The sequence below is a fragment of the Homo sapiens genome, chromosome 12, assembly GCF_000001405.40.
Source record: "Homo sapiens chromosome 12, GRCh38.p14 Primary Assembly".
Taxonomy (NCBI): Eukaryota; Metazoa; Chordata; class Mammalia; order Primates; family Hominidae; genus Homo; species Homo sapiens.
In genome coordinates, this window is record NC_000012.12 from 42,591,027 (window position 1) to 42,604,996 (window position 13,970).

The 13,970-nt window shown below is 41.5% G+C and overlaps 2 annotated features.

The window, feature by feature from the left end:
- Nucleotides 12,142-12,642: an enhancer, noted in NCBI's record as "NANOG hESC enhancer chr12:42996970-42997470 (GRCh37/hg19 assembly coordinates)". NCBI's record gives its function as "activates a minimal SCP1, AML or CMV promoter by ChIP-STARR-seq in naive H9 embryonic stem cells {active_cell/tissue: H9 hESC(naive)}" and the evidence as "EXISTENCE:reporter gene assay evidence [ECO:0000049][PMID:30033119]".
- Nucleotides 12,643-13,143: an enhancer, noted in NCBI's record as "NANOG hESC enhancer chr12:42997471-42997971 (GRCh37/hg19 assembly coordinates)". NCBI's record gives its function as "activates a minimal SCP1, AML or CMV promoter by ChIP-STARR-seq in naive H9 embryonic stem cells {active_cell/tissue: H9 hESC(naive)}" and the evidence as "EXISTENCE:reporter gene assay evidence [ECO:0000049][PMID:30033119]".

The following is a 13,970-nucleotide window of genomic DNA, read 5'->3' on the forward strand; positions in this document are numbered from 1 at the left end:
AGTCTTTTCGATTTTCGTTGGGAATAAAGCAAAGGAATACTCAGCAAAAATGGAGCCGATGAAAAGAGAATGCAAGGAAATAAAGGCAAATGGAGGAGGAAACTGTCTAAATCCAGGAAAATGTATGGCTTCAGCACTGTGCTCTATAATTCTGACTCAGATCTCCCCACGCTGTAGATACTTTCTCCTGTCTAGATGCCCAGGCAGAGTTCCTGAGCTCAGATCACTCAGGAAACAAGGCTGTTGCTTTTGAAATAATTCCACTTGCTAGCGTTGTTTTTTTTTTTTTTTTTTTTTTTTTTTTTTTTTGAGACGGAGTTTCGCTCTTGTCACACAGGCTGGAGTGCAGTGGCGCGATCTCCGCTCACTGCAACCTCCGCCCCGCCCCCGTGTTGAAGCGATTCTCCTTCCTCAACCTCCCGAGTAGCTGGGATTACAGGCACCTGCCACCGCGCCCAGGTAATTTTTGTATTTTTAGTAGAGACAGTTTCCCCATGTTGGCCAGGCTGGTCTCGAACTCCTGACCTCAGGTGACGAGAATCTGGGAAAGAACAAACCAGGTTTTCTTGCCCCTCAGCATTTTATTGGAATTGGCCTTTGAAGTTGTGTCTGTTTATCTTGCTGGGGTTACAAATGCTTCTATTAAGCTATCAACTTTTAGGTTCTATCTAACCTCCAGAACTGCCAAAGAAAATTTCACTACCTCCATAGGTGAAATAAATCTTATTGCTGTACAGTGACTTCACAAAGGTTTTGTTTGTTGAGCATCTATTATGTGGAGCAGACACCCTGAGCACTGTGGATGATACATGGTCATTCCCTCTGGAGGATTACTGCCTCTTTGGACTGTGTGCTGGGCAGCATCTTTTGGATCCATTGCAAAGGTGAATACTTGGCCTTCAACCAGGACTCATAAAATTACTCCGGCCAGTGCATGTGATGGTCTGAGGTCACAACAGTCTGATTTCAAATTTCAGCCCCACCGCTTACCAAATGTAGCCTGGGGTAATGTAGTTAACCTCTCTCAGGCTTAGTTTCTCATTGGTAAGTGAGGGTAATAATATTCAGCTCAGGGAACTGTTGGGAAGATTGAATGCTGCAGAAATCACTGGAACGTTTGTATTTCATTTTATAAGGCATCTTCTCACAAGCACCCTTCTCTATAGCAGCCTCCATGCAAAATCCCACAAGTAGAAAAGAACTGTTTTTTATTTAATCTGAAAAAGCATTCTTCATTGTGAACTCTTGAATTGCTCCTGGGTCTCTTTTTCTTTTTTCTGAGTCTGTTTTATTAATGGTGTTATTTTCTTTGTCTTTACAAAGCAACATGATGTCATACCTTTTGTAAGAAATCAATTCACTTAGAGAATGTCTACTTTTCTTTTTTGAGACACCCTTGATCTGTCACCCAGTCTGGAGTGCAGTGGTGATCACAGCTCACTTCAGCCTCAAACTCCTGGGCTCAAGTGATCCTCCCGCCACAGCCTCCCGAGTAGCTGAGACTACAGGCATGCACTACCGTACGTGGCTAAGTAACTTCTTTTTATTTTATTTATTTATTTGAGATGGAGTCTTGCTCTTCGCCCAGGCTGGCGTGAAATGGCACGATCTTGGCTCACTGCAAACTCTGACCCCAGGGTTCATGCAATTCTCCTGCCTCAGCTGCCCGAGTAGCTGGGACTACAGGTGCATGCCATCACACCCAGCTAATTTTTGTATTTTTAGTACAGACGGGGTTTCGCCATGTTGGCCAGGCTGGTCTTGAACTCCTGACCTCAAGTGATCCACCTGCCTTGGCCTCCCAAAGTGCTAGGATTACAGGCATGAGCCACTGAGCCTGGCTGCAACTTCTTTTTAAAAATAACATTTTTGTGTGTTGAATTGTGTCCTCCAAAACTTCATGTTGAAGTCCTTAACTGCAGTACCTCAGAATGCAACCTTATTTGGAGATAAGGTCTTTGCAGAGTTAATCAAGTTAACATGAGGTCACTAAGTTCAGTCCTAATCCAATATGATTTTTATCCTTATAAAAAGGGGAAACTTGGGCAGGCATAGTGACTCATGCCTATACTCCCAGCACTTTGGGAGGCTGAGGTGGGAGAGTCACTTAAGCCCAGGAGTTTGAGATGAGCCTGGGCAACAGGCAACACAGGGAGATCTTGTCTCTCCAAAAAAAAAAAAAAGGAAAAAAAAGAAAGAAATCGCCAGGTGTGGTGGCATGGGCATGCACCTATGTTCCCAGCTACTGGAAGGCTGAGGCAGGACAATCACTTGAGCCCAGGACATCGAGGCTGTGGTGAGCCATTATGGTGTCCCTGCACTCTAGCCTGGGCAATACAGCGAGACCGTGTCTCAAAAAGAGGTGGGGAGCAGAATTTGGAGACAGACATGCACACAGGGAGAATACCACATAGAGGTGAAGGCGGAGATCAGGGTGATGCTTCTGCAAGCCAAGGAACATCATTGATTGCCAGCAAATTACCAGAAGCCAGGAGAGAGGCACGGAACAGATTCTTCCTCACAGCTCTCAGAAGGAACCAACCCTGCCCACACCTTGATCTCAGACTTTCCACCTGCACAACTGTAAGACAATAAATTTCAGTTGTTTCAGCCACCCAGTTTGTGGTACTTTATTATGGTAGCCCCAGCAAACTAGTACAATACCCAACCATGTCATGCTCTGAATGTGTCGTGGCTCACTAAAGAGGATTTTCATATTTAGATGAAGAATTCGTGACAGTGTGGGCCACAAGCTTGAGAATTAAGCAACAATCAGACAGTGTTGGCAGTCTTTGTTTGATTCCCAGGTCTGTTTGATTCCTAGGATTTGCTTGGCGTCTGCTCCCTGTGTCTCTTGTTCATCCACATCTGGGACTCCTTTCTTTGACTTGCAGACCCAGCCCCAACCAGTGTTTGCAGGGTGAATCAGTGTTGACCCTATAATGATCTGCAAGGGCCTGGCTGTCAGGCGTGCTCCCGGGCTGCAAATCCTACTTATGCTCTTCAGGGCTTTCAGGATAGAGTGCACACTCCTTGGATTAGTTCTAAAGGTCTTTTATATTTGCACTATGCCTATCTCTCTGGCTTATTTTTTTTTTACTACTCTCCACCCTTGTTTGCTCTAACCATATTAAGCTATTTACAGTTCTTCAAAAGCATCAGGCTGTTTTATGACTCTGTGCTTTGAAAATACCTAGAATGTTACCCACTGAAAATTGCCCTCTTTATTAGCTAACTCCTGCTTATCCTTTACCATTCGACTCAAACATCACCTTCTTGGTAGTCCATTGATGTGCATTATTTATTGTTTTGTCTGCCAAGCTTGTTTCTCCTTCTTTGTAATGCCCCCAATTTCCCTTGAGGAACCATCATCTCCCACTGTCAGTGCACATGGATTAGTTGGAGACTCATCCCTGGTTTTGGTGTTAGGATCAGGTGACCCAGACCTGGAAAATTAGAGCACTGGATCCCCTGACCAAAAGATTAGTTCAGGGATGGGCATGTGACCCAGGTCAAGTATTGGGATTTGTGCATGAGCTTTTAGTGATGCCATAACAACAACTTCAACAAGTATTTATTGATCACTTATATACCAGCCACTGCCTTGCTGGGAATTCAACAGTAAACCAAATATCCAAAGTCTCTATCTATCCTTATGGATTTTTTATTCATAGACAGGAGATATTCTCTTGTTCTTCTGTCTTTTAAACATACATCTTGGAATGCAAAGGTCTAGATTCCAGAAACTATTTTGTCACCACAGGAAGCCTGAGCATTGAGCAAGCATGAAGGAGGATAGAAGGGAGAGATGGTGAGAGAACAGGATCTGATGGCATGATTTGAGCTCCTGGATCAAACTCTACCTGAAAATGAACTACCACTAAACTTTTCAGTTAATTTAATATTTTGTTGTCATTTAAGCCAGTTTGGGGTTTAAGTGACTTACAAATTAAGGAGTACCGTTTGGTACACCCTTCCACCATTTAGAGGCTACTTTTCTCTGTTGAACCTTATACTCCTCTATCATTTTGTTTATTCGATTAGTTATTCCTTTATTCCGGAAAAGATTTATGTCCACTTACTGTTATGTACCCATAACACATAGCAAGTTAGCATAACTTGAAAGTAGATATGAAAGATGAGAAAAATAAATGAGACAAGTTCATAAAATTCATCCCATAAAGAGTGAGACACGATTTAGTTTTCAGATTTCTAGCAGCCAATGTGACGATGGTTATATAATTCCTACACAATGGAAAAGGTATCTAAATTAAAACAATCCTGTTCTTAGGAGAAGTATGACTATTAGTAAATTGAAGAGCAGAAAGAATCACCCACACCCCAGGTCCACGTGAAGAAGGCTCTAGAGAAATGATGAATAACATCCTCACAGAGCACTCACAATGTGTTTCTTGGGGATGTTTCTCAGAGCACCCATGAATTCAATGAAATTTATTTTTTAGAAGAGCAATTTAATTACTTCATTTTGTCCGGTCATGGTGGCTCACGCCTGTGATTCCAGCACTTTGGGAGGCTGAGAAGGGTGGATCACCTGAGGTCAGGAGTTCGAGACCAGCCTGGCCAACATGGTGAAACCCCGCCTCTACTAAAAATACAAAAATTAGCCAGGCATGGTGGTGAGTGTCTGTAATCCCAGCTACTTGGGAGGCTGAGGAAAGAGAAATGCTTGAGCCTGTGATGTGGAGGTTGCAGTGAGCTGAGACTGCACCACTGCACTCCAGCCTGGGAGACAGAGAGAGATGCCATCTCAACAACAACAACAACAACAACAAAAATCACTTCATTTTGTAACAGGCACTTAACAGAATATATGACAATTACAATAAAGTGAGTAGTCCGAAGTATTCTGGTATTGCATAGTTGGAGGGAATGGAGGTAGAGTGAGGGAAGACTTCTTGGAAGAAGAGGCATCTAGAAGATGAACTAACTGAGGGTAAGATGTGTGCATGTAGGTGTGTGTGCTCACGTGTCTAAGCATTTTGGGCAGAGGGAACATCATGTGTAAAGGTGAGGAGGTAAATGCAAATAGGCTGAATCTAAGGACATGAAATATGTCCAGACTGGCTGCAGCATGGGGCACAAAAGGAGAGCAGTGAGGTGGAGGCTTGGAGGAACCTGCAGAGGAGGGCAGAGGCTGAGGCATGTAGGAGCTTAAAAGCAGGGACAAGTTTTGTGGGAGAAGATAAGGAGTTCTGTTTTGGATTATCAGAGAAAGTAATCTGCAAAACTGGCTAAAAGAAGAAGCCAGAGAGATAGGAAGGAGATAGTGAGAAAGTGTTGAATGAATACCAAAGACGAGGGCATTTCAGGAAGAGAGCAGTACCTACCCTCAGCTAAGTTTTAAGCTCCCCAGAGCAAACTGTGCTTCATGCAGCCCTAGAGTCCCACCACTAAGAGGTTTAAAGGAGGCCCTCGAAGGGTCTGATGGGTGGGCTTTGGGGATCCCAGGAGGATTCAGCAGTTTATAATAGTTCTGTAAAGCAGACCAAGCTGATCTGCACTTCCTTCAGGCAATCCTCCACAAATATGCTTTCACCAGGCTTTTGGGAGTATGGCCAGCAGCGATTTTGAGATTATAATCCTTGGGCAATACTCAACTATTCCGTGTTGTTCATTAAAAAATGAATTATATATTTTCACAGTCAACTGAGCTGAATTGATAATTTCATAAAAAGCTGAGTTTACTTAGTACATATGCAAGAATTGAAGGCCATTTCCCCTCTGCTCAAAGATGAGCGGAAGGAGGACATTGGGTCAGAGTTCATTCCTTTGTCACAGCAATCTTTATCATCTTTAATTTGCTGCCTTTTCCATTAGTTTGTTCCTTGAGGGCAGAATGCTGCCTAATTCAATGTTGCGACTCCAGTGCCTGGCACAGTAACTAGAACAGAGTAGGTGCTCAGTATCCACTGAAAGATAAATAGATACTGGGACCTTAATGGAGAGCTGGTGGGGAGAAGGGAGTGAGGTGGGGGCAGGTAGGGCTGGCCAGCCCATACCCTAAGGTGATCCAGCCAAGCCTAGTGTGGTTCACAGTGTGAAGGAGATCGGGGCCATATATTTGGGCAGTAGAGTCAGCACTAGGACGGGGAGGCGGTGAACTAGGTGAAGCAGCAATTAGGGGAGTCTAACCTCCCAGGAAGAGGAAATGTCAGGTTGTTATGGTTCAACCAATGGAGCTAAGGTTCAAGTGTGGACCACAGTGCCAGTGGCCAAATTAGGAAGCAATGTGGAATCCAATGGTGTTTACATGTGATGGAGGCACAGCTGTGGCTTGAAGGAGCTCCACAGCACATACCCAACTTCTGGAAACAAGATTAATTTCAGACCTCTACCAGAAAAATGGAAGGGCTGAGACTGGAAAATAGATTGGTGGTTGGTTTATTTTGGTTCTCTGACTCTGGCTTTCTTGTTTATACTTCAAACCCACAATATGAAATATGATTTCACATACCTGTGAGTTTGAGAAAGAGAGAGGAAAAGGAGAAATAAATGTCCTTTTTGCTCAAAGCTACTAATCTAATTTTATTTCAGATCTTCTTGGTGCAATGTAGAGACACTCAAGACTAATTTATTTACTTCAGGAGCTTACAAAAACAAGATTGAGTGACATGCTGGCTTCTAATGTTCTTTTGGGAAATATCTTGGGTTAAATGGTGCTTTCATTTTCTATTTTTTCATATAAAAAGAACTCTGGGACTTGTAGTTGAGTGACTGAAGGAGGACTAAAATCAATCCTCTACCTCTGAAAGTTGAGATCTTAGATTTTACTATATATTCTCTCATTCCTATAAAAAGTAGCAGCTCCTGCTGCAGAATGTTGCTTATTCTGCTACTTTTGACCCCAGGCCTGAAGAACTCCTATAGATAGCACGTGAAGTTCCATAAATATCTTCAAGTATGACCTACAATGACTACATTAGCTTTTCCTCTCACTAGTGCTGTTGCTGGGGCAGAAGTTCCCAGAGGTCTGAGTTTAAAGAATTCCACCCCTCCTAGGCACACTCGTACCACCAACCACAACTCCCAGCCCGAGCTCAGGATCTGTGGGGCATTAAAGTAAAACAAAACTCAAGAAAGCATAAGAAAAAACGTGACATGTTCAATAGTGGTTATGGGTTGTAAGTATCAAAAACTTTCAAATAGAGATGACTACATTTACACTCCATTTTCTTCTGGAAAAATTATTGGTTTTGCTCACCAACTCTGAAAATCCAGATATAGCAGTAGATGCTAGGAAGGAGTTAGGAGCAACTTGAAGCAGCTCTCATTTTTGAGCTCCTGGGAACTGGTTCCCAGGCCAGCACCTCCGCCACCAGGATGTGGCTTTCTGGTGAATGAGAGCCACCGATGGGCCTAGAAATTAGTCTTTTATGTTAGTGTGCTAACCATGTGACTAGAACACATTCTCCTCTACATTAGTGTCCTAAAGCATTAGCAAAATAATATGTCACTCATGATGCGACTGAGTGAAATGTATAAAGGAAATTGGTTTACTAAACCCATTAGGTTAAAAGGCAAATGGGAGACTAAAACAATAATCAAATGACAATATTTTAATTTTTAGGATTAGTTATCTGACAGGAAATTTCTCTTTTAATTTAATTTCTACATTTTAAAACAATGAAGTTTAAGGAGCCTTAGAGAGAAACACACAAATCAGCACACTTAGTCCTTTTTATAGAGTTTCAGGGTTCCAACCCACTCTTGCTAAAAAGTACTATTTCAGCCACCAAAACAGAATAATTCAATATGAGAAAAAAAAAAAAAAAAAAAAGCCCATGGAGATAAGGAGCTAAAATGAAGTCAAAGAATCGGGAATAAATTTTCCCCAAATGAATGACTCAAGATGTGAGATCCCAGCCTATACTTCTGCCTGGCACTTGAACTCCTACATTTGCAAGTTGTATGAAATCTCCTCTAATCTAGAATTGGAATTTGCCTGTAAGCAGCTATAGTTTTCTTATTCTTACTGTCTGGTTAAATAGGTTAAAGCAGGCAGGCAAGCCTGTCAGCAGGGCCTGAGAGAAACAAGAATGTAGTGGGAATCAGGAGAGATGTGTGAGTGACAGTGTTAGGGGGAAAAGGAAGAGAAAGGAGAGGTAACTCTCAAAACACAGCCAGAGGAAACGAAGCTCTTGTTACAATCATGGCAGAAAGGTCTTGATACTGTTTTTCCCCAGAACTGAGGTGGATGCTCTATGGAAGCACCCTCCATAGAGGCAAAGTTGTTGAAAACTGATCTAAGTCATATGATTTTACGTAGTGCAACTGCCCATCAATGGATTCAGGACTGGCACTTGGCAAGTTTTTTATTATTATTATGAATATTATTTTTATTAGAGTACTAAGGGTTAATAACAGAAGACTACATTTTCTTCTCACTTTTTAAATTAGAGGCTGACATTGATTTAAAATGTCTAACAGAAAGCCATGGCTTATTCCTCACTGATTTATGAGCATCAAAGGATGGGGAAGCTAGCCGCATTCTTGTCATTTCAGTGGTTCATTCTCTCCTTATTCTGAGTGAGGTCTTCTAGTATATTGGTTATGTGGCGTCTAAGTTTTGATCATCTCTACCGTTCACCTGGCACTTTGCACATCTGCTCACAATACTTGGCATGTTTTCAGTGTGTTTTAAAGCTCTGATTAGGTTGTTGGCCCATGGAGGGCAGGAGTCATTTCCTAGACTTTTTTTATATCCCTCACATACGCCTATGCACTTGGTACTCTGTCTGCACGTAAACTAAATGTAATGAATATTGGTTGATTACCGTTATATTTTTTCAGCATGTAATTCCATATCTTGATATGCTCTTACACAAAATCATAGTTTTTAGATCTAGAAGAGCTGTAGGGGATCATTAGTCCAAGCATGTCATTTTATAGAAGCAGAAACTGAGACTTCTCAAAGAGAGAAAATGCGCTCACAGTTACATGGCACAGTGGGGATTAGAACTTGGCCATCAGACTTCTGCTTTTTCCTTTTGTCCCTTCCCAGTTGGAGAAACTAGTGTTTAAGGAAAGTTCAAGAGACTAGGGAATGAGTGGTAAAATGGATTAGCAGCATACACCATGAGCTGGTAAGTCACCATTCTCAGTTTTGTGTATAATAAGGATTATGTAAGCATGGCCTAAGTCATTCTGTATGTCACTCAATACTAAAGGGTAATCAGGCAGGCTTCTCTGCCTTTGTGCAGGGCAAAGAGAATGTTCCACAGGCACGTGCCTAAATATGAAGAAGAGAATAAGGCAGCGAAGAGTGTGCCTACCTGCTTTCTTCCTCAAGGCCTGGGCTCCATGGTTTCTGTAAAGGCTCTTTTTAGGCAGTTATTTCTGGGCCACTAGGCAAGGTGAAAACATTCTTTTCCTTGACCACAATCCAAAAGGGAACATGCGAGAGATTTTATTCTGTTTGCATCTCAACTGAGGGTCTTCCTTTCTCCTCCTTGCTCTTCCTTCTGAGAACATTTATTGATCACCTACTGTATGCTGAGCACAATGCTAGGTAGACAATGGGGAGGCAATTGCAAGAAAGATGGCAGTGCTGTTCTTGAGCTTACAATTTTATTAGGGAGACAAATATTCCAGGAATGATGAATGGTGAGATACGTGCTAAAAGAGGTATCTCCAAAGTGTCAATGGGAGCACAAAGGAAGGGGGTAACTAATGACATCTGTGAGGCCAGGCAAGCCTTTTGGAGGAAGTGACATTGAGTCTTTATGAACGAATTATTGTGGGAGGGATCATTTTGATGGAAAAAGTGGTCCTGGTTGGAGGGGCAGCATGTGCACGCTCATGAAAACATGAGGTGAAATGGTGTGTTTAGGAACCCAGAAGTAGTTTGATGGGGTAGAGAGTAGGGGAAAGCACAAATCTAAAGAACGCTGGATGCTGTGCTAAGGAGTTTATATTTTAGCTTTCGGAGATGGGGAGGAAGGAGCCAACAGAGCAGAAAGTGACTATACTAATGTCCTTTTTTCAAAGTAACACGAGGTACTGAATATAAATAGCACGGCTAAAGAAAAAAATATATCTGAGCTCATTTCTTTTTCCTATAAAGATAAAAATTACTTCTTGGAGATCCTTTTGCAATTGTTAGGTTTTCCCAAGTGGTATGCAACGGTATTTTTAGAAATCAAATCATGTTTCTGATTGATTTGAAATGTATTTTTAATGTTAATGGAAAGGGTGATGGACTGGGAATTATGGAGACCTGGGTTCTAGGTCCTGGGCCACCATTAACAGGGCATAGTAACAGTAGCATATTCCTCATTCACCATGTGAGGGGATGGGAACAGGAACTTTCAGCACTAAAGTTTAGTGTGTGACCCTGTGTATGTGTATGGTGCGTGTTTGTGCGTGTGCATTTGTGTGTTTATATCTAGCCTAATTCAAAAACAAAATGAGGCAGTTTCTAATGAAAGGTACTGATAGAGGCCAGGTGTGGTGGCTCACGCCTGTAATCCCAGCAGTTTGGGAGGCCAAGGTGGGAGGATCACTTGAGGTCAGGAGTTTGAGACCGGCCTGGGCAACATAGCAATACTCTGACTATACTGCAGGCTGGATAACAGAGTGAGACCCTGTCTCTATGTTTTTTTAATAAAGGCATTCATACATTCAGAGTCAAAGCCTGAAACCTAGATTCAAAGACAAAAGTCAAGTAGTAAAGAGTGCAGAGGGATAACATAGGGTTGCTAACTTTTAATTTGGCCAAATAAGGATATAATAAAAGTAAACAAAGCAAAGCCTAGTCATTCTCAACAACAAATGGGAAGGAAATAATGGCAGAATAAAGAACAGTCTTCTAAGTTGCCATTATGCCATGAAATTCTTACTTAAATTTTATTAATTTTCTGAATAGATAATATATGCATAAGTTTCAAAATTCAAGAGGTAAAATGTGTATATGGTGAAAAGTCTCCCTCTCACCTTTTCTCCTAACTACCCAGTCTTTCTCCCCAGGCACTGTACTTTCTAGATGCCAAGATAAGGTAGGAAATATGACTAGTTGCAAAGCCCTCAAAGATCAAGGTTTATCACAAAAGAAAGGCTTTAAATTTCTTTTTTCAAAAAAATTCTTAAAAGGGAGAATTTAAGCTCTTAAGAAATTTGTCAAAAGGATGCCTATACAAAGGATCTGGAGTAAAATAACGAAGAATAAACTCAGGAGTTGCTACAGACAATGTGGGGGATTTTCTCATTTCTGAGCTCTTCATCTCTTAAAGAATTTAAATAAATACTTAATTGAATTCCCCAAATTCTACCCCATTAAGAAATGCAGAGGACAGACTTTGACCTGGAGTATTTTGAGGAAAGAGATTACCCAAATTCCTATTTACTTCTTCTCTAGAGAAGTCTTAATTTAACTCCTGAATCATGTTTGATTTTGAATACACAAAAGTCACAGCCTGACTTTTGTTCCAGGATAATTCAGCTCAGAAATGAAGTCCTATATATCTGAGTGGGGGAAATCTTTTAAATAAAATCGTTTAGTGTTATCCATTTATATGTGACAGTGTATCTGACAAAGGAGTTGCGTTTGACATAATTACTATTTAGCTGTCCTTCTAGGCTATAATTGGTCAACGGGTTCAACTGCTTTTAGAGGCCACTCCTGAAATGTGAAAGTGGTGTCGTATAATCAGTATGTAGAAAGGATCCTGATCCTCTGTTGGCCAAAGTAGGCACCTTGGATTTGGAGCTGGTACCAAACAGTTCAGGTACCAGTTAATACCGGGGGGAGGGGGCGGTTATGGTCAACTCCCTTACGTGGCACTACCAATGATGTTACTGTTGGTCAGAAAGCGAATCCTGTGCTGGCTCTGATTCTCAGACTAGTAGGAAAATAAATGTTGTGAAGGAGCATTAAAAGCCTTGGATCAATGCACATCGCATGATGTAGCCATAAATCATGACCTGTAGAATAAAGAACTGACATCAGATCAATAATTGCCAGAAAAATTAAATTTTTCATTACTTGAAACAGAAAAGTAATGGTTGAGTGGTTAAACCTAAAACCTTCCTTCACTTCAGGTGACTGGGAGACCCAGCTCTGTAATTTGTTGAAGAGAAAGCAGCTGGCATAGAATTTTGAGGGAATGAGATAAGTTAAACTGGGTAGATCTTATTTCTATTTTTAGTAGTCTTTGAGTCCATCAGTTAATGGAGATACAGATTTCTTCAGGGCCTGTCAATTACAGTAGAGGTTAGAGAGCCCCAGTGACAATTCTTCCTTGGGGGTCCTCCTCTGCTTAAGACATCTCTTAGGGAGAATTTTGGAGTCTGCAAAACAAGAGGTCCTGTCCCAAAGCTGCCACAGCAGAGACAAACATTGACAGGGATCTGTGATTCACGGTTCCTCCCACTGCAGTCCTGCTGGGAGCAACAAAGCCCCAGCCACCATGTACAGCCTAAGGGACAGGTGTCCCACTGAGGCCAGGAGTACCCTCCTCCCCGCTCCCTCCACCCTCTATGCATGCACACATTGTAGTTTTTTCAGAAGTTCCCCCAAATTACTTTCTTGCTAATCTGCCTGTCTTTTCTTGTCTCCCTAGCAGTTCCTTCCCAGACATAGGACAGAAAAGAAGGGTGGGATTCCCCACTGGAAAGCTGTTTCCACATTTAATTGATCTGTAATTCATAGTGGCCCCAGCTCTGAAGCCCACTCTGGCCTTAACCCATCGTTCAGCCAGATACTTAATGACCTGTAAACAACACAACAGCTGTTCACAGGGGTCCATATAGTCAAAAGACCCCGAGGTGAATCTTTTGTAAGGCAAAGCATCTTTTTGTGTGTGATGCAGAATCCCTTCCTCTAATTTATCTGCTTTATAGGTTAGTGCACTCCAGGGCTCTCCAACCATAAACGTAACATTTGTAGTTAGAGTCATAGAAGAATGCTGATGAGATTTCCAGTTAAATTCAGACAAAATGGGGTCCGATTTTCTCATGGTGGCAGAGTGGCTGTTAACATCCCATCCTTCACCTCTGTTTCACGTTAAAGATCAGTGCTTTAATTGTTCTAGCTAGCAAGGAACCAGATGCCCCTCCTCTTTAACAGAGAAACACACATTTCATTTGCCCAATTTTTCTTTGACCCCAAGAGAAGGGTAAGACCCTTTGTAGGGAAAGCACTAAATTCGGAGTGAGAGGCTTGGGGAGAAGGTGCCCTATAGCAGCCAAACAGAGGGAGAGCGCAAATGCCAGGTAGAGGCTACGATTGTCCAACTCGTTCATTAAACTTCTGAGAAGGCAATGTATGGTAGGAATGCTTTATCTCCATTAATGGAAGTATTATGCCACAAGGAGAAAAACATTGTATGAATAAACAAAGACAAATAGGCTGTTGTAAAAGGAGTAGTGTTTTGATAACTTCCATTTCTATTGTTTCTCTTGTACTGAAAAGACATATGTTCATCATAAAAATTTTGAAAAGTATAGAAAAATACAAAAAAAAAAATCCAAAAATACAAAGCCCCAGCCACCCTGTACAGCCTAAGGGACAAGCATCCCGCTGAGGCCAGAAATGCCCTCCTCCCTGCTCTCTCTACCCGCTATGCATGTCTTTTTTTCTGGGCATATATGCACTATAACAATTGATCACATTGGACAGGTGAAACTTGCTTTTCACTTAACATATAGTGAATATTTCCCATGCCATTTAATATTATTTTATAACCACAACTTTATGGCTATATGATACATTTTTAGGATATTAAAACAACTTTTAAAAATAAACATGCTGGGCTTCATACCTAGGTGATGAGTTGATAGGTACAATACACCACCATGACACACATTTACCTATGTAACAAACCTGTACATACTGTGCATGTACCCCAGAACTTAAAAAATAATCAATCAATCAATCAATAAACATTCTTTAGTAGTGATGAGCATACTTTAACTCTGTGCTCATCCATTATTTTCTTAGGATAAACTTGTAA